This window comes from Homo sapiens, chromosome 12, assembly GCF_000001405.40.
Source record: "Homo sapiens chromosome 12, GRCh38.p14 Primary Assembly".
NCBI lineage: Eukaryota > Metazoa > Chordata > Mammalia > Primates > Hominidae > Homo > Homo sapiens.
In genome coordinates this window covers 125624258-125643809 of record NC_000012.12, presented here as the reverse complement: position 1 = coordinate 125643809, position 19552 = coordinate 125624258, and the positions used below count along the sequence as shown (strand labels likewise).

Sequence of the window (19552 nt, the reverse complement as noted above, 5' to 3'; positions counted from 1 at the left end):
GCCTTTTGTGTGTATGTGTGTTTTTCTTTATCTTACCTTTTTTAGGTACTCAAACGATCACTAATCAAACCCCAGGTGCCTCATAGTTCACTCTTGCACCATATCTGAAGATGCATAAAAGGTTTTTATGTTACTGAAAAAGCACATTATTCAAGTCATACTGAGGTTCTCTGAAAAATCAGGAGAGCTTTGCACTAGATTAAAATCCTGGTAGGCAAAATAGTTGTGAAATGCATTAGAAACATGGATATAATTATTTTTGCCCCATTCAGCTATAATTTTGCAGAACGAATGTGGCATTTCACCGTGGTCTTTTGACTCAGCACTTGGGGGTGGCCTCTCTAATGTGCATGCTTCAGTAGGTTGAGCATTAGACCATTTAAGTCCCCATTTTACTTCACATTTTCAGGATAAGCAAATAAATTGTGGCTGACTTTCTCTCCTGGACAATCAGGAAAATGTATTTATGTAACTAGGTAGAGAGAAGAAAGAGGGATCACAAATCGTTTCATGAGCAGAGGACAGAAAATAAAAAGTATTGTGCAACCTTTGCATTCATACTGCTGAGGGGCAGTGTCAAGCCTGTGCTGCTGGCAGGGCCCCCACCTCAACCAGTGGGGCCACCACAGCCCCACTTTTGCAAGCCAGAAACTGGGACTTATTCTTGTTGCTTCTCTTCCTCACTTGAATCTGTAACTACAACTCAGGCCTCCCTTCTGAGCCCCAGACACACGTGCCCAACTGCCTATTTGACATGGTCAAGTGAATGGCTCAAGAACAATGTCAGAAGTGCCCACTTCCAAACTTAAAGAGTAAACTTCCAAGTGGTTTGAGATAAATTACCACCTCGCCACCCACCCCGCCAAAAAAAAATGGCACTAATACGAATGTGCTTCCTTGGAAATGAAACCGGCCTTTTGCCACCCAACAGCTCTACACTGTAGCTTGACATGGAAACCAAGGAGAAAATAGCTAATGGGACACTTAAGACTCACCCTGCATCCCCAGTCACAGGGATGGATCCTTGTCACTTCCACTTCTCAACACCAATGACGTCTTTAGGAATCCTTAAGTATAATTAACATAGGCTGCTCATTGGGAGATCTGCTGAAATCATTGAGACTTTGACTTGATAATCCCAGTCCACAAAGCAATGAACAAGGATTGCTGAAGAGTTACTGGAGTCTGGCTAAGTTCATTTTTGGAGCCCCTTTCCTATCCTGTCAGAACTTAGCAGTCTAAAGTCTTTTTCCTTCCAGGCCTAAGATGGTAGTAGATAGAGCTACCATTAGGCCTGATAGCTAATGTGTCTCTCATCCCCAAAATTCCACAGGGAGCTGAATATGGCATTTCTTTAACTTTTCAAATTAAAAAAAGAAAAGAATCTACTTCTATCCCTCTCTTTGCTTTATTTTATAAAAAGAGAGAGAAGAACAACAATGAAGCAAGCAAATTAGCTGTATTTTAGAGCATGTTTGAGGCAGTTAAATCTGCTTCATTGTGCCCAGGACTGTAAAGAGAATAATCAGAACAAGATCTCCATTCAGAGAAGAAAATGGAGTGGAGGGTCATGTTCTTATTTTTAATAGATGCTGACACAATGCTGAGCCTGACTGCCATCCATTTAGGTACTCAAGGTGTGGAAGCCCCATTATAGAGAAATATCTGCCTTCCCAAGGAAGCATTGCACTAGGAGAAGGTGAAGGCTCAGTAAGACCTCTGATTTCCCCTGAACTCACTGCTTGTTCTGCCTGTGGCATGCAGACTACCTCGAGAGAAGGAAGTCCCCCCAACCCTGCTCAGAAAAAAAGAGATTGAGGCCCCCTGTGATTTAGAAACCTGCAGTGGATACATTGGGGAGTTCTGCTCTCACTTCTCCCTAGCTCAGGTGGTTATCACCTATTGCCAGAACTTTCTCAGTCCAATGTTCTGTAGTGCAGACCTCAAACCTCTTGCATTTGTGGAAAATTACGGTTCTCCCTTGTTTACTGCTACCCAACCACCCCCAATCACACATCAAATCACTCTGAATCACATCCCACTGGAGAGAACACACCAGTTTTGGAAACTGTGAGGCCCTTTCTATGTTCATAAGGAATGAAATAATGTAACTGTCTGCATCCTTTCGGAGCACTACAGTCTTAAACCTGCCCCATCTTTTAGGAAGTGATGTATAGCTCATATGGGAAAAATAAATTAATTAAAAACATAACAAAGTAAGAGGGCTTAGCAATTCTTTATGTTGACTATCTTTTGAGTTTTTTCTCCTGGGACATGCATACCCTTAAAAAAGTGTATGCCTCCATTTTAAGTAATTCAATTAAAACAGCACAAATAAGGCTAATCATACTGAGTACTAAGACTTGAGGTATCTAACAACGTACAAAGGATATATTAGATATACAGAAACCAGAGTTTCTCACTTCATGGTCTCACCAATTACAGATGACCCTCATTATTTGTGGATTCCATATTTGCAAACTCATCTACTCCCTAAAAGTTATTTGTAACCCCAAAGTCAGTACTTGCAGTACCTTCCTTTTTTGGTCATTTGTGGAATTGCACAGAGAGGGGAAAATTTTGAACCACCTGCCATGCACGCATCCCCAGTTGAGGTCAAGCAAGTACTCGCTCTGCCTTCTTGTCTCAGCTCTCATACAAAGACCAGAGCATGGACAATATAGGGGGCAGTGGAGCACTGTGTGGGAAGCTTCAGCTTGGGCGCTGGATCCAGTAGGACAGAATCTGAATCCCTACTCTGGCACCTGTTAGTGAGGCAGCCTCAGACAAGTCACCTAACACTTCCAAACTTCAATATTTCTTTTGTAATAGAAGATTACAGACTATTAGAAATGTGTGTGTGTGTGTGTGTGTGTGTGTCTATTTCTCCTACAAGCAAAGGTTCAGTACTCGCTAATTCAGTGTTCATAGGCATTTTATAACTATCTCAAATAATGAGAACAAGACAGCTCATACTTGTACAGGACCTCATTGCCGCAACACTCTCCTTTCAATGCAGTAAGTCCCACGGTAATGCCACGAGGTGGGTGCCATGAGCCTCATTTTACCTGTACTGAATCCAGCATAGAGAAAGGGACCGCCTCTTGCACAGCATTTTGCGTGTGTGAGCCGGCACCTGACTGCTGACTGCTGGCCCAGGGCTGTCTCCTCTGCTTGGATCACCTCTGTCCTCTCCAGGAACTTCTGCTATACCAGATACAATCCAAACACCTTACAGGGGCCTACCAGGCCCTAATGCCCTGGACCTGCCTCCTTCTCTGGCCTCACCTTGCACGCCCTCCCTACCCGGCACAGGCCCCTCTTCATGTGTCTTCACTGCTCCCCTGAGCTCTCCTAGGCTTAGCCCCATCCCAAGGCCATGCCATGGTCTTCTGAGGATATGATCTGATGTCCTTCATAAGTGGTTTTCTACTGGCCAGTCAACTATGCACCAGCACCTCTGCCCGACACACATACACTTTCCTCTTTTCTAATACTAATAAGGTTTTCTTCAGGAAATCCACTGCCCTCCATTCACCACAGGCCTCCCTACCTCCATCATTAAACCCGCATCTGCTTTGCCAATGATTGGTTTAGGGGAAAGCATGTGCTATTACTCTGGCCAGTGAGCTGTGAGAAGGCTACTGGGGCTTCTGGGAAACATCTCCTTGATCAAAGAGACTCACCGAAAGTGGCGCCTCCTCCTCGCACTGCATGTTGTCCTGTGGGAACTGACGACAGGAACTGCTGCAGGGATCTCGGAGCCCTGAGGGAGCCAGCCGTGGCCCAGACTGACCCCGGAAGCTAAGGAACCCGGGCCCTCGATGGCCTAGAGGAGCCGCTGGACCAGCCCACCTGGACCCCCCGACTTTGAGGCGTTTTATCAGGTGATTGTCGTTCTTGTGGCTAAAGCCATCTTGGTCTATGTGGTTTTGTTACTTGCCACCAAAAGGATTATAAATGACATAGGACTGCATCTCAAATGCCACCCCTCAGAATGCATTCCCGGAGCCACTCCTAATTTAAACTTGGCACCCGCCTCTGGTCACTATTTTCCTGTATCTAATTTGCTGTGTGTGCTACTGTGTACACTGAATTTACAACATTGCTCCATTACTTAGACTCTTCCTATTGCTTATATCATGTCACTTAAACTGTATTAATTGCACCAGATTGCTCTGTTATATAATGTACTTCTTCACAATAATTACCACTCTCCTAATGCTCCTGGTTGTTTCTTATCTATCTTCCCCACCTGATGGTAATCTGCTTCAGAACATGGACCTTTCTCCTTTTCCCTGCTGTCTCTGCTAATAGCACAGCGCCATAGAAGTTATTCAATAAATAGATGCTGAGTGTGTGAATGAATATGTCACAACTGTTTCCTCTGAGACCCATTCATTTCTGTACACCACCATCAGTAGTGTGTGTATCTGTAAGAAGGCAAAGAAGGTGACTTACACAAGGTTATCATGGTAATGACATTAAGAAAAGTGAAAGTGATTTCATATATTATGAGAGAAGACAGACCAGAAGGAACAAAGCTGATAAATGTGAGGCCTTGGATTCCCAGTGGTCAATTGGCCTTTTAACTCAGAATTAAGATCTCTATGTGTGAGGTACATGTGTGTTTTATTGGCAGGGGAAGGAGGGGTGTGGGGAGATGACAGGATGACATAGCAAAATAAAGATCAGAGCCAGATTCCCATCATTCATCTAACTGATACCTTCAGGGCTCTCTGAGCCTCAAGAGGAACATTGAAAACCAAATGCTGTCAATCCTAATATAAGAAGAGCTGAGGGCAGGAACATGGAGATTGAAAACAGATGATTTGTGTCATGTTAATCTGTGAGCATGTGTGAGGTGGCTTGTAAATGTCATCCTGGGAAAGTTGCCTTTAGAGGTTAATATTTTTACTGTCAAATTACACTTTTGCAACTACATTGCTTTATAATAAAAGAGGCTAAAAGGGGCTCTCCAGATGTGAATATGTTTCCTTTGGGTATCTTGTAAGACACATCATTTACTTCATGTTCTATTTTAAAAAGAAGCAAGAATTTAATCTGTGCATCAGCCACCCTCTGTGTTTGCCACACTGTTGACCCACCTGCCTGCCCTGATGGGAGGCTGACTGCACGTTGGGCTTCCCTCACGACCCCTCTGCCAACCCGAGACATGTGCTGCTATGTTAGAAGAAAAAAAAAATGCTACAGAATCAGGTAGTATGTTTCTCACAAACGTACAAACAATGCTGAAATTCTACATTAAAAGAGGCAAAAAGAATCAAAACTATGTAGAGAAAAACCTTAGATATTCACTTATCATCTGAATCACTTTGTATGTATTACTGAGTTTAGTGAAGTGTACTGTGTCTGAGGCGCAGTAGGTACTCAAAAATATTCCTTTTACCTTGAGTTTTTAACTAATAATAAATGCCAAAAGGAATAATAATATATATCATGTATTAAGTTCTTACTATGAACCCTGCGTTGTTTTCAAAATTTTATGTAGAATTATACCCGTTAACCTCTCCAAATACTCTGTACATTACATTTTTGTCTCTATATTATGGAGAGTAGACTGAGGCCAAGGAGAGGCTGCTAGTTAAGGAATCACAGCTGGTGAAAGGCAGAGCATGTTTCCCACTCAGTCTCTCTGTGCCAGAGGCCTCCTCAGCACTGTGTTACTGCTTCAGTGCAGCCCAGGCAAGGACAACATGGCCCTTCCTCCAGAGGACCACAGGCCGATTGGGAAAGGCAAGACCTAAATACACACATCAGTACTTTTTATCAACCAGATTGAGTTATAATTTATGTGGAATACAGTGTATCCATTTAAAGGATAAAGTTCAATGAGTTTGGCAGTGTCCACCCATGAAAACACTACACAGACAGAACATTCTGTCACCCCAAAAACAGATCCTAATGCGTCTTTTCAGTCCATGGCTCCCTCTTCTCCTGGCCCCAGGCAACCACTGATGTGCTTTTCGTCACCACAGATTGGTTTTCATTTTCTAGAATTTTATATAAATGGAATCACAACATGCACTCTTTATGTCTGGCTTTTTTCACAAGTATGATGATTCTGAGAGTCATCCTTATTGTTACTTGTGTCAGTGGTTACCCCAGGCTCTTTTCCCTGGTTGCTTTCAGCCACAATGATGGAAATGCAACATTTTTTCTCTTATTTACCTATGACCTGGAAGTCCCCTACCCGCTTCAAGTTGTCCCCCCACTTTGCTTCCAGTTGTCCCACCTTTCCGGATGGAACCAATGTTCATCTTACATATATTGATTGATGTCTCATGCCTCCCTAAAATGTATAAAACCAAGCTGTGCCCTACCACCTTGGGCACATGTCTTCAGGACCTCCTGAGCCTGTGACACGGGCGCATGTCCTTAACCTTGGCAAAATAAACTTTCTAAGTTGACTGGGATTTGTCTCAGATATTCAGGGTTCACAAAGCTAAAGAAATAAGTTCAGATCTCCGATCCGCTCTCTATGTTGAGTATCCTCTGATCCCCGCTGTATGTTGAGTTCATTCTTAGTTTTTGTGTATTTAAAGCAGCCTGGATTATTCTCTGATAAAAATCGGAGACAAAATCAAGACAGCCAGATCCCCAGTTTCAACTCAGAAATGTAGAGCACTGAAAAGCATTTCTCCCACCCTTATCAAACTACAAATTAATAATTTTTATTAAGTTTGTCTGAGAACTGTGGCTGCAGGGTAACAAACTAACCTGCAATCTAGAGAAAGACATGATTCTTCAGGGAGAAATATATATTAAGCATTTGCTTCCCTGGAGTAGACATTGCTGAAAGCCACATAAGCTGATAAGAAGGATTCAAGCAAAACTTTTAGATACATTTCTACAGAACAAATGTGGACTATTGTGAGAGTGTAAAGACCCTGGGGACTGTAAATACAGGGGAGTTTGCACCCTCTTGCAGGTTCTAAGAATCTCACCAGACACTTAGAGAGAAGATGTGAGATAATCTCAAGACAGCTTCCTTCATGATCCTGGCTGCAGAGAGAAACGGCAGTCAGTGATAAATTTCCGCAGTTTCATCTCTTCTATTTCCCGTATGGGACAAAAGTCTTAGTCTTCAGACAGAAGTATAATAAAAACTGTCAATCAGGATACTGTGGAAACTCATTGCATCTAAAGGGAAGGAAACAGAAAGCTCTACCCGGAGGGAGGGATGAGAATACATGCTAGACACACTACAGCTTGAAGAGGGGTAGGAGCACCTTTGAAAGCCATACACTAGAGGCTAAGTGATACAGTGTCTACTAAGCCTAATGCTTAATCAGAACATCAGAGAATTTGGCCCTGGTCCTCCACTAGGCTAAGAAGCACCAAGTGAAAATAATAGGGAATACAATTAGGAGAGCTACAAGAAACAGATTCTCTCTTGAGCACATTGGAAATATTCAAAGCCAAGAAGGAAGCGGACACTGAGAAAATAACTCTGGAAAATTAGCTCACATTCTAAGTGCAAGGAATCACTAAAGGAATTTCAAGCCGATGGTGCACTGAGTGTAACCATATAGCAATCAAACCCGGGGAAGAGGAAAGCAAGATGGTAAAATAGAAGGCTCCATCGACCGTCCCCACCACAAGGACACCAATTTAACAACTATCTACACACCAAAAAAGCACCTTCATGGGAACCAAAACTCAGGGGAGCACTAACAGTACCTGGCTTTAACTTAATATCACTGAAAGAGGCACTGAAGAGGTAGAAAAGGGAGTCTCGAATCACCACCACCACCCACACCCACTCCCAGCAGTGGCAGTGTGCTGCAGAGAGCATTTCAGTGCACTGGGGGAGGGAGAGCACCGCAATTGTGAGGCATTGAACTCAGTGCCACCCTATTATAGCAGAAAGAGAAACCATACCAAATTTGCTGATACCCACCTACAGAGGGAGCATTTAAAGCAGCCCTAACTTTTTAACGATCGCCATTCTAACTGGCATGAGATGGTATCTAAGGAAGCAACAGATGCTGGAGAGGATGTGGAGAAATAGGAATGCTTTTACACTGTTGGTGGGAGTGTAAATTAGTTCAACCATTGTGGAAGACAGTATGGTGATTTCTCAAGGATCTAGAACCAGAAATGCCATTTGACCCAGCAATCCCATTACTGGGTACATACCCAAAGGATTATAAATCATGCTGCTATAAAGACACATGCACACCTGTGTTTACTGTGGCACTGTTCACAATAGCAAAGACTTGGAACCAACCCAAATGCCCATCAATGATAGACTGGATAAAGAAAATGTGGCACATATACACCATGGAATACTATGAAGGCATAAGAAAGGATGAGTTTGTGTCCATTGAAGGGATATGGATGAAGCTAGAAACCATCATTCTCAGCAAACTAACACAGGAACAGAAAACCAAACACTGCATGTTCTCACTCATAAGTGGGAGTTGAACAATGAGCATACATGGACACAGGGAGGGGAACATCACACACTGGGCCTGTTGGGGGTGGGGGCTAGGGGAGGGATAGCATTAGGAGAAATACCTCATGTAGATGACGGGTTGATGTGTGCAGCAAGCCAACATGGCACATGTATACCTATGTAACAAACTTGCACATTCTGCACATGTACCCCAGAGTTTAAAGTATAAATAAATAAATTAAATAAATAAATCCAGCCCTAGGCAGAGAGGAATCTCCAATCCCAGCAGTCCAAACTTGAATTTCTGCAATCCTTACCACTGTGGGCTAAAGTGCTCTGTGTTCCTAAATAAACTTGAAAGGCAGTCTAGTCCACAAGGATTACAACACCTAGGCAAGTCCTAGTGCTGAACTGGGCCCAGGGCCAGTGGACCTGGGGGCACGTGACCTACTGAGATACCAGCTGGGGCAGCTAAAGGAGTGCTGGCATCACCCTTCCCCAACCCCAGGCTGTACAGCTTACAGTACCACAAAAGACCCCTTCCCTCCACTTGAGGAGAGAAGGAAGAATGGGGAGAACTTTGTCTTGCATCTTGGATAGCAACTCAGACACAACAGAATAGGGCACTGATCAGAGTCCTGAGGCCTCCTTTCCATGCTCTAGCTCCCAGATAACATTACTAGACATACCCTGGGCCAGAAGGGAACACACTGCCTTGAAGGAAAGGAGCCAGTCCTGGCAGCATTTATTACCTACTAGCTGAAGAATCCTTGGGTCCCGAAAAACCAGCGGCAATATCCTGGTACTACATCAAGGGCCATGGCTGAGCCTCTGAGATTTGCTGGCTTCAGGTGAAACTCAGCACATTCCCAACTGTGATGGTTACAGGACAAGATTCCTGCTTAAGAAAAGCAGAGGGAAAAGTAAAGAATTTCTCTTGCACCTTAGGTACCAGCTTGACCACACATGGATAGAGCACCAAGTGGGCTCTTGGGGCCCTCAATTAGAAGACTTGCTCTTGGATGGCATTTTTGGGCCTGCTTTGGGCCAGAGGGGAGCCCACTGCCCTGCAGGGTGAGTCTCAGGCCGGGTAGCCTTCACTACAAGCTGACTGAAGAGATCTTGTACCTTAAGGGAACATTGGCAGTAGTCTGGCAGTACTCTGTAGGCCTGTGGTGGTGGTGGCCCCAGGGTGAGGCTTCTCTGCATTTGGAAAGGCGAAGGAAGAGGGGGAAGGACTGCGTCTAGTGGTTTGAGTGCCATCTTAGCTACAATGCAATAGAACACCAGGTAGACTTCCAAGGTTTTTGAATCTAGTCCCTGGCTCCCAGACAGCACCTCTGGACCTACCCAGATCCTGAGGAAACTCACCACCCTGAAGGGAAGGGCACCAACCTGGCTGACTTTGCCACCTGCTGATTGTAGAGCCCCAGGGCCTTGAGCAAACATAACTGGTAGCTAGGGAATGGTTACAGCAAGCCTTGGATGAGACCCAGTGCTGTGCTGGCTTCAGGTCTGATCCAGCACAGTCATAGTGGGAGTGGCCACAGGGGTGCTTATGTCACTCCACTCTCAGCTTCAGGTGGCTCAGAACAGAGAGAGAGAGAGACTCCATTTGTTTGGAAGAAAGTAAGGGAAGAGAATAAGAATCTCTGTCTAATAAACCAGAGAATTCTCCCAGATCTTGACTAAAACCATCAAGGGGGTACCACTATGCGTCTGCAAGAAACACAGCATTACTGGGCTTGGGGTGCCCCCTAAAGCAGATACAGCTTAGATCACAACACCTAAGTCCTTTTGAATACCTGGAAAGCCTTCCCAAAAAGAACAGGTACAAACATGCCCAGGCAGTAAAGACTATAATAAATACCTAACTCTTCAATGCCCAGACACATTTAAACATCTACAAGTATCAAGGCAATCCATGAAAACATGTCCTCACCAAATAAACTAAATAAAGCACAAGAGACCAATCCTGGAGAAAGAGAGATATGTGACCATTCAGACACAGAATTCAAAATAGCTGTCTTGAGGAAACTCAAAGAAATTCAAGATAACACAGAGAAGGAATTCAGAATTCTATCAGATCAATTTAACAAAGAGATTGAAATAATTAAAAACAAGCAGAAATTCTTGAGCTGAAAAATGCAATTGACATACTGAAGAACGCACCAGTCACTTACTAGCAGAATTGAACAAGGAGATTCAAGAAAGAATCAGTGAGCTTGAAGACAAGTTATTTGAAAATATATCTCCAGAGGAGACAAAATTTAAAAAAAGAATAAAAATCAAGCAAGCACACCTACAAAATCTATTTTCTTGTAGCACACCTACAAGAAAATAGCCTCAAAAGGACAAATCTGAGAGTTATTGGCTTCGAAGAGGAGGTAGAGTAAGAGACAGGTAGAAACTTTATTTAGAGGGATAATAACAGAGAACTTCTCAAACCTACAAAAAAAAGTCACTATCCAAGTACAAGAAGGTTATAAAACACCAAGAAGATTTAACCCAAAGAAGATTACCACAAGGCATTTAATAAACTCTCCAATATCAAAGATAAAGAATAGATCCTAAAAATAGCAAGAGAAAAGAAACAAATAACATACAATGGAGCCTCAATACATCTAGCAACAGAATTTTCAGTAAAAACCTTAAAGGCCAGAAGAGAGTGGCATGACATATTTAAAGTGCTGAAGGAGGAAAAAAAAACTTTGACACTAGAATAGTACATCTTGGCCAAAATATCCTTCAAACATAAAGGAAAAATAAAGACTTTCCCAGACAAGCAAAAGCTGAGGGATTTCATCATCAGGCCTGTCCTGTAAGAAATGCTAAAGGGAGTATTTCAATCAGAAAGAAAAGGACATTAATGAGCAATAAGTAATCACCTGAAGGTGCAAAACTCACTAGTAATAGTAAGGACACAGAAAAATACAGAATATTATAACACTATAAGTGGGATGGGTAAACTACTCTTATCCTAAGTAGAGAGACTTAATGATGAACCAATCAAAAATAATAACTGTAACAACTCTTCAGGACATAGTACAAAAAAATATAAACAGAAACAACAAAAAGTTTAAAAGTGGGGGGATGATGTTAATGTGTAGAGTTTTTATTAGTTTTCTTTTTGCTTATTTGTTTATGCAAACCATGTTAAGTTGTTATCAGTTTAAAATAATGGGTTATAAGATAGTATTCACAAGCCGCACGGTAATCTCAAACTAAAAAACATGTAACAAACATATAAAATATAAAAAAGCAAGAAAGTAAATTGTATCACCAAAAAAATCACCTTCACAAGAAAGAAAATAAGAAGGAAAGCAAGAAGGAAGAGAAGAGTACAAAACAACCAGAAAACTAGTAACAAAATGGAAGGAGTAAGTCCTTACTTAATAATAACAGTGAATGTAAACTGATTAAACTCTTCAATAAAAAAACAGAGTGGCTAAATGGATTTTTTAAAAAGACCCATTGATGTGTTGCCTACAAGAAACACATTTCACCTATAAAGACACATATAGACTGAAAATAAACGGATGGAAAAAGATATTCCATGCCAACAGAAGCCAAAAAAGAACAGGAGTAGCTGTGCTTATATCCGACAAATTGACTTCAAGACAAAACTCTAAGAAGAGACAAAGAAGGACACTATATAATGATAAATGAGTTAATTCAGCAAAAGGATATAACAATTTTAACTAAATATGCTCCCAACACTGGAGCACTCAGATATATAAAGCAAATACTATTAGAACTAAAGAGACAGACTCCAATACAATAATAGCTGGACACTTCAACATCCCACTTTCAACATTGGACAGATCTTTCCAACAGAAAATCAACAAAGAAACAGTGGACTTAATCTGCACTATAGACCAAATGGATTTAATAGATATTTACAGAACATTTTATCCAAAGCCTGCAGAATATACATTCTTCTCCTGAGCATGTGAATTATTCTCAAGGACAGACAATATGTTAGGTCACAAAACAAGTCTTAAAACACTTTAAAAAATTTGAAACAATATTAATTATCTTCTCAGACCACAATGGAATAAAACTAGAAATCAATAACAAGAGGAATTTTGGAAACTATGCAAATACATGGAAATTAAACAACATGCTCCTGAATGACCATTGGATTAATGAACAAATTAAGAAAAAAAATTGAAAAATTTCTTAAAACTAATGTTAATGGAAACACAACATAAGAAAACCTATGGCATACAGCAAAAGAAATCCTAAGGGAAGTATATAGCTGTAAATGCCTACATCAAAAAAAGAAGAAAAACTTCAAATAAACAATTTAATGATTCATCTTAAAGAACTAGAAAAGCAACAGCAAACCAAACCCAAAGTTAGTAGAGAACAGAAATAAAGATTGGAGCAGAAATAAATGAATTTAAATTAAATAAAACAATACAAAAGATCAATGAAACAAAAAGTTGTTTTTTTCTAAGAATGAGATCGTGTCTTTTGTGTGAACATGGATGAATCTGCAGGCCATTATCCTTACCAAACTAACGCAGGAAGAGAAAGCCAAATACCACATGTTCTCACTTATAAGTGTCAGCTAAATGATGAGAACTTATGTACGCAAAGAAGGGAACAACAGACAGTGGGGCCTAATTGAGGATGGAGGATGGGAGGAGGAAGAGGAGCAGAAAAAATATTGGGTACTAGGCGTAGTACCTGGGTGACAAAATAATCTATACAATAAGCACCCATGACATGAGTTTACCTATATAACAAACCTGCACATATACCCCTGAACCTAAAATAAAATTTTTCTAAAATTGGTTTTTTGAAAAGTTAAACAAAATTGACAAACTTTTAGCTAGAATAACTAAGAAAAAAAGAGATAAGATCCAAATAAACAAAAGCAGGGATGAAAAAGCAGACATTACAACTGATACTGCAGATATTCAAAGGATTATTAGTGGCTACCATAAGCAACTATACATAAATAAATTGGAAACTCTAGAAGAAATGGACAAATTCCTAGACACATTTAACCCACCATGATTGAATCATGAAGAAATCCAAAACCTGAAGAGACCAATAACAAGTAATGAGATCCAAGCCATAACAAAAAGTCTCCCAATAAAGAAAAGCCTGGGACCTGAGGGCTTTATTGCTAAATTATACCAACTATTTAAAGAAGAATTAATACCAATCTTATTCAAACTATTCCAAAAAACAGAGGAGGAGGGAATACTTCCAAATTCATTTTACAAGGCTAGTATTTCCCTGATACCAAAACCAGGCAAAGACATCAGAAAAAGAAAACTACAGGCCAATACCTCTGGTGCATACTAATCCAAAAATCCTCAACAAAATACTAGCAAACTGAATTCAACAATACATTAGAAAGATGATTCATCATGATCAAGTGGGATTTATCCCTGGGATGCAAGGATGGTTCAACATATGCAAATGAATTAATGTGATACATCATGTCAACAGAATGAAGGACAAAAGCCATATAATCATTTCAACTGATGCTGAAAAAGAATCTGATAAAGTTCAACGTCTCTTCATGATAAAAACCTTCAAAAAACTGAGTATACAAGGAACATACTTCAACATAATAAAAGCCATATACCACAGACCCACAGTTAGTATTATACTGATTAGGGAAAAACTGAAAGCCCTTCCTCTGAGATGTGGAACATGACAGGGATGCCCACTTTTACCACTGTTATTCAGCATAGTACTGGATGTCCCAGCTAAAGCAATCAGACAAGGAAAAGAAATAAAGAGTATCCAAATTGGAAAGGAAGAAGTCAAATTATCCTTGGTTGCAGATTATATGATCTTATATTTGGAAAAACTTAAAGACTCCACCAAAAAACTATTAGAACTGATGAACAAATCCAGTAACATTGCAGGATACAAAATCAACATACAAAAATCAGTAGCATTTCTATATGCCAACAATGAACAATCAGAAAAAGAAATTTAAAAAATAATCCCACTTACAATAGCAATAAATAACATTAAATTCCTAGGAATTAACCAAAGAAGTAAACGATCTCTATACTGAAAACTATGAAACACTGATGAAAGAAATTAAAGGGGACAGCAAAAAATGGAAAGATATTCTACGTTCATGTGCTGGAAGTATTGTTAAAATGTGCATACTACCCAAAGCAATCTACAGATTAAATGCAATCCCTATCAAAATACCAATGACATTCTTCACAGAAATGAAAAAAAAAATCCTAGAATTTCTATGGAACCACAAAAGACCCAGAATAGCCAAAGCTATCCTAAGCAAAGAAAGCAAAACTGGAGGAATCACATTACCTGACTTTAAATTATACTACAGAGCTATAGCAGCCAAGACAGCATGGTTCTGGCATAAAAATAGACACATAGACCAATGGAACAGAATAGAGGACCCAGAAACAAATCCACACACCTACAGTGAACTCACTTCCAACAAACGTGCCAAGAACATACACTGGGGAAAAAGCAGTCTCTTCAATAAATGGTGCTGGGAAACCTGGATATCCATATGTAGAGAAATGAAACTAAACCTCTATATCTTACCATATACAAAAATCAAATCAAAATGGATTAAAGACTTAAATCTAAGCCCTCAAACTATGAAACTACTGCAAGAAAACATTAGGGAATCTCTCCAGAACACTGGTCTGGGCAAAAACTTCTTGAATATTATCCTACAAGCATAGGCAACCAAAGCAAAAATGGGCAAATGGGATCATATCAAGTTAAGAGGCTTCTGCGTGTCAAAGGAAACAATCTACAAAGTAAAGAGACAACCCACAGAACGGGATAGAAATACTTGCAGACTATTCATCTGACAAGGGATTAATAGCCAGAATATATAAGGAGCTCAAACAACTTAATTGGAAAAAAATTGAATAATTCAATCAAAACATGGACAAAATATTTGAATAGCCATTTATCAAAAGAAGACAGAAATGGCAAACAGGCATATGAAAAGGTGTTCAACATCACTGATCATCAGAGAAATGCAAATCAAAACCACAATGAGATATTATCTCACCCCAGTTAAAATGGCTTTTATCCAAGACAGGCAATAACAAATGCTAGCAAGGATATAGAGAAAAGGGAACCCTTGTACACTCCTGATAGGAATGTAAATTAGTACAACTGCTGTGGAGAAAATTTGGAAGTTCCTCTAAATCCTAAAAGTTGAGCTATCATATAGTCCAGCAATCCCACTGCTAGATATATACCCAAAAGAAAGGAAATCATTACTTCAAAGAGATATCTGCACTCCCACGTTTGTTGCAGCACTGTTGACAATAGCCAAGATTTGGAAGCATCAACAGATGAATGGATAAAGAAAATGTGGTACATATACCCAATGGAGTACTATTCAGCTATAAAAAAGAATGAGCTCTTGTCATTTGCAACAACATGGATGGAACTGGAGATCTTTATCTTAAGTGAATAAGCTAGGCACAGAAAGACAAACATTGCATGTTCTTACTTATTTGTGGGATCTAAAAATCAAAACAATTGAACTCACGAAGATAGTGGAAGGATGGTTACCAGAGGCTAGGAAGGGCAGTGGGTGCTGTGGGGGAGGTGGGGATGGTTAATGGATACAAAATGATAGAAAGAATAAAACCTAGTATTTAATAGCACAGCAGGGTGACTATGATTATAGTCAATAATAATTTAATTGTACATTTTAAAATAACTAGAAGAGTATAACTGGATTGTAACACAAAGGATAAATGCTTGAGGGGATGGGCATCCCATTCTCCATGATGTGATTATTACACATCACATGCCTGTATCAAAACATCTCATGTACCCTATAAATATGTACCATAAAAATTAAAAATTAAAAAAATGTTAAAAAACCCTCAAACTTAGCTCAACTTCTGACTATATTAACAGAAATCCCAACATTATAGGCCTATTAGAAAGAAAGGTATACACAACTCTAATCATAAAAAGGATTCATCTCAGTATCTTCTGAGATGAAATATGATATACAAAATGTCCATCTTTAAATGAAAAGTACAAAGCATACCAAAAGTCAAGACAAAACACACCCCCAGGGAGAAAAAAAATCAATAATTAGAACTAGACTCAGATATGATTCAGTTGTTTGGACTATCAGACAGGAAATTTCAAATAATTATGATGAATATGTTAAAGGCTCTAGAGGAAATGATAGGCAACATAAAGGAGAAGATGGGTAATTTCAGAAGAGGATAAAACAATAAGGAATAATAAAATGGAAATTCTAGAAATAAAAATGCATAGTAGCAAAGATCTTGATGTCTTGATTTACTCATCAGTAGATTAGGCAGAGCCAAGGAAAGAAGCAGTGAATTTGAAGGTAATCAATAGGAATTACCCCAACTGAAACACAAAGGGAATAAGAGTGACAAAGAAAAGGAAAAGGGCATCCAAGAGCTGTGAGAGGGTCAAATGGTCTAATGTACATGTAATTGGAATCCCAAAAAGAGAGATAAAACAGGGCTCAAAAAATATTTGAAAAAACTATATAACCAAGATTTTTCCAGAATTACTGGCAGTCACCAAAACACAGATCCAAGAAGGTCATGTGAAACCAAAGAGGACAATTATAAACAAAACAAACACTTAGGCATGTAATATGCAAACTGCTGAAAACCAAAAGCAAAGAGAAAATCCTGTAGGGAGCCAGAGAAATAAGACATTAGCTACAGAAGAAGATGGATAACAATTACGGCAGACTTCTTGTTGGAAATCAGGCAAGCAATAAGACAATAGGATGGCATCATGAAGATTCCGAAATAAATAACTATTGCCCTATAGTTCTATACCCAGCCAAAAAAAATCTATCAAAAATGAAGGTGAAATAATTTTTTTAGACAAAAGCTTAAGATAATTGCTAACTACCTTAGTACAACCACTATGGAGAAAAGCTTGGGAGTCTCTCAAAAACCTAAGAATTGAACTACCATATGATCCAGCAATCCCACTGCTAGGTATATTCCCAAAGGAAAGGAAATCAGTATATTGAAGAGATATCTGCACTCCCATGTTTGTTGAAGCACTGTTCACAGTAGCCAAGACTTGGAAGCAACCTCAGTGTCCATCAACAGATGAATGGAAACAAACACCTAGGCATGTGATACTTAAACTGGTGAAAACCAAAAGGAATATATAAGACATATTAAAGAAAGTCCTTCAGGCAGAAAAAAAGAAGGTGTCAGTTGGAAATCTAGATCTACACTTAAGAATGGAATAATTTAAGGAAGAATAAAATTCATTTTTTCAGAGTTATAATTGTTCTGAAAAAATAGCTAATTATCTAAAGCAAAACTAGTAACAATGCATTGTGTGTTAATATTAGTAACAAAAGTAAAAATAAAATATACCAAAATAGCACAACCATATTTTACTGGCAAAAGACTTAAAAACATTTCATTAGGGAAGAGGATTTACAGATAGCAAATAAGCACAGAAAAAAATGCATAACAGCAAGAATTATCAAGGAAATACCAATTAAAACCACTAAGAGATAACACTACAAGCTCATTAGAATGGCAAAAGAAAAATATTTCAATACCATATGTTGTTGAGAGTGTGGAACAGCAACAGGAATTCTCATTCATTTTTGGTAGAAATGAAAAGTTGTACAACTGCCTTTGAAAACAGTCTGGCAATTTATTATAAAGTTAAACATTCAGTTTACTAAATGATCCATTAATCTCACATCTAGGTGAACTGAGAACACGTTTGCACAAAAATTCTTATGTGAATGTTTATAGCAGATGTGTTCAGAAGTGTCAAAAATTAGAAACAGCCAGATGTCCTTCAACAGGCAAATAGATAAACTGTGGTAAATCCATACAATGGAATCCTACACAGCAATAAAAAGAAACCCACTATCAATTCACACAATAACACAGATGAACTTTCAATGCATTTTTTAGGGAAAGAAGTCAAATCTGACCGGGCGCGGTGGCTCACGCCTGTAATCCCAGCACTTTGGGAGGCCGAGGTGGGCGGATCATGAGGTCACGAGATAGAGACCATCCTGGCTAACACGGTGAAACCCCGTCTCTACTAAAAATATAAAAAAATTAGCTGGGCGTGGGGGCGGGCGCCTGTAGTCCCAGCTACTCAGGAAGCTGAGGCAGGAGAATGGCGTGAACCCGGGAGGCAGAGCTTGCAGTGAGCTGAGATCGAGCCACTGGACTCCAGCCTGGGCAACAGAGCGAGACTCAGTCTCAAAAAAAAAAAAAAAAAAAAGAAGTCAAATCCAAAAGACTACATATTACATTATTCCACTTTTGTGCTGTCCTGGAAGAAACCAAACTGTAAGAACACAAAATGAATCAGTGGTTGAGAGAGGTGAGAGTGATGTTAACTAAAAGGGACAGCATAACAGAATTTGGTGAGGGTGCGACAGAACTGTTCTTCGGGTTACTGTGGTAGTGAGTATATGACCATGCATGAAAACCCATAGAACTGCATAGAGTTCTACACAAAAAGCACATTTTACTCTGTATACATTAATCAAAACATCGACCACGATGTTTGGAGGATCTCACTAAAGTGGGTGGGGGAGAAAGGCACTGACCTAAGTAACTCTGGAAAACATTGCTCTGACCAGATATGGCTGAAGACAAAAAGGACCGCACACAAACCCTGGACTCTAGTAAGATCGTGAACACAAACGCAAGCATCATAACTAAATTTGAGTAGCAATTTTTCAGTCTACTGTCAATAGTATAGGATGATGCTTTTAAAGATTATTTTAGAAATGAATATGCAAAGTCAAATAATTATCACAGTGAGCTCGAGGACAATAAGTCCACGAACCTTGGGGCTTGAGGAATCCCCAGTCACCTTTGTATCTTCTCACGCTAAGACCTACCCTGTTAACACTTCTCTGCCCTTATTGGATGGTGATATAAGTCCTTTGAAGACAAGGTTGTTGCCTTATTTCATTTTCTGCACCCTAAGATCATGGATGGGGCCTGGAACATTGTAGACATGCAAGAATGGTGCAGAGTAAATGAGATGAAGTGGGCTGTCCAGGATCATACAGCTGGCAACTGGCAGGTCCTGGGAGCCCCTCTCTGCCCCTCACCAGCACTGGAAGTCACTCTCAGCCCCCAC

General features: G+C 39.8%; 1 protein-coding gene across 11 annotated transcripts in view; it reads right to left on the bottom strand.

Annotated features, from left to right (window-relative positions):
* TMEM132B (transmembrane protein 132B) overlaps positions 1-19552 on the bottom strand; it is a 475992-nt gene that overhangs the window by 18568 nt on the left and 437872 nt on the right. The window contains exon 1 of one of the 11 annotated variants that reach the window (XM_011537854.3): positions 37-11503. The exons of the other annotated variants lie outside the window; for them this stretch is intronic. The gene's annotated coding sequence lies outside the window, so the exon portion shown is untranslated. Of the gene's footprint in view, positions 1-36; positions 11504-19552 lie in introns of those variants that run through there. 11 annotated transcript variants of the gene reach the window in all.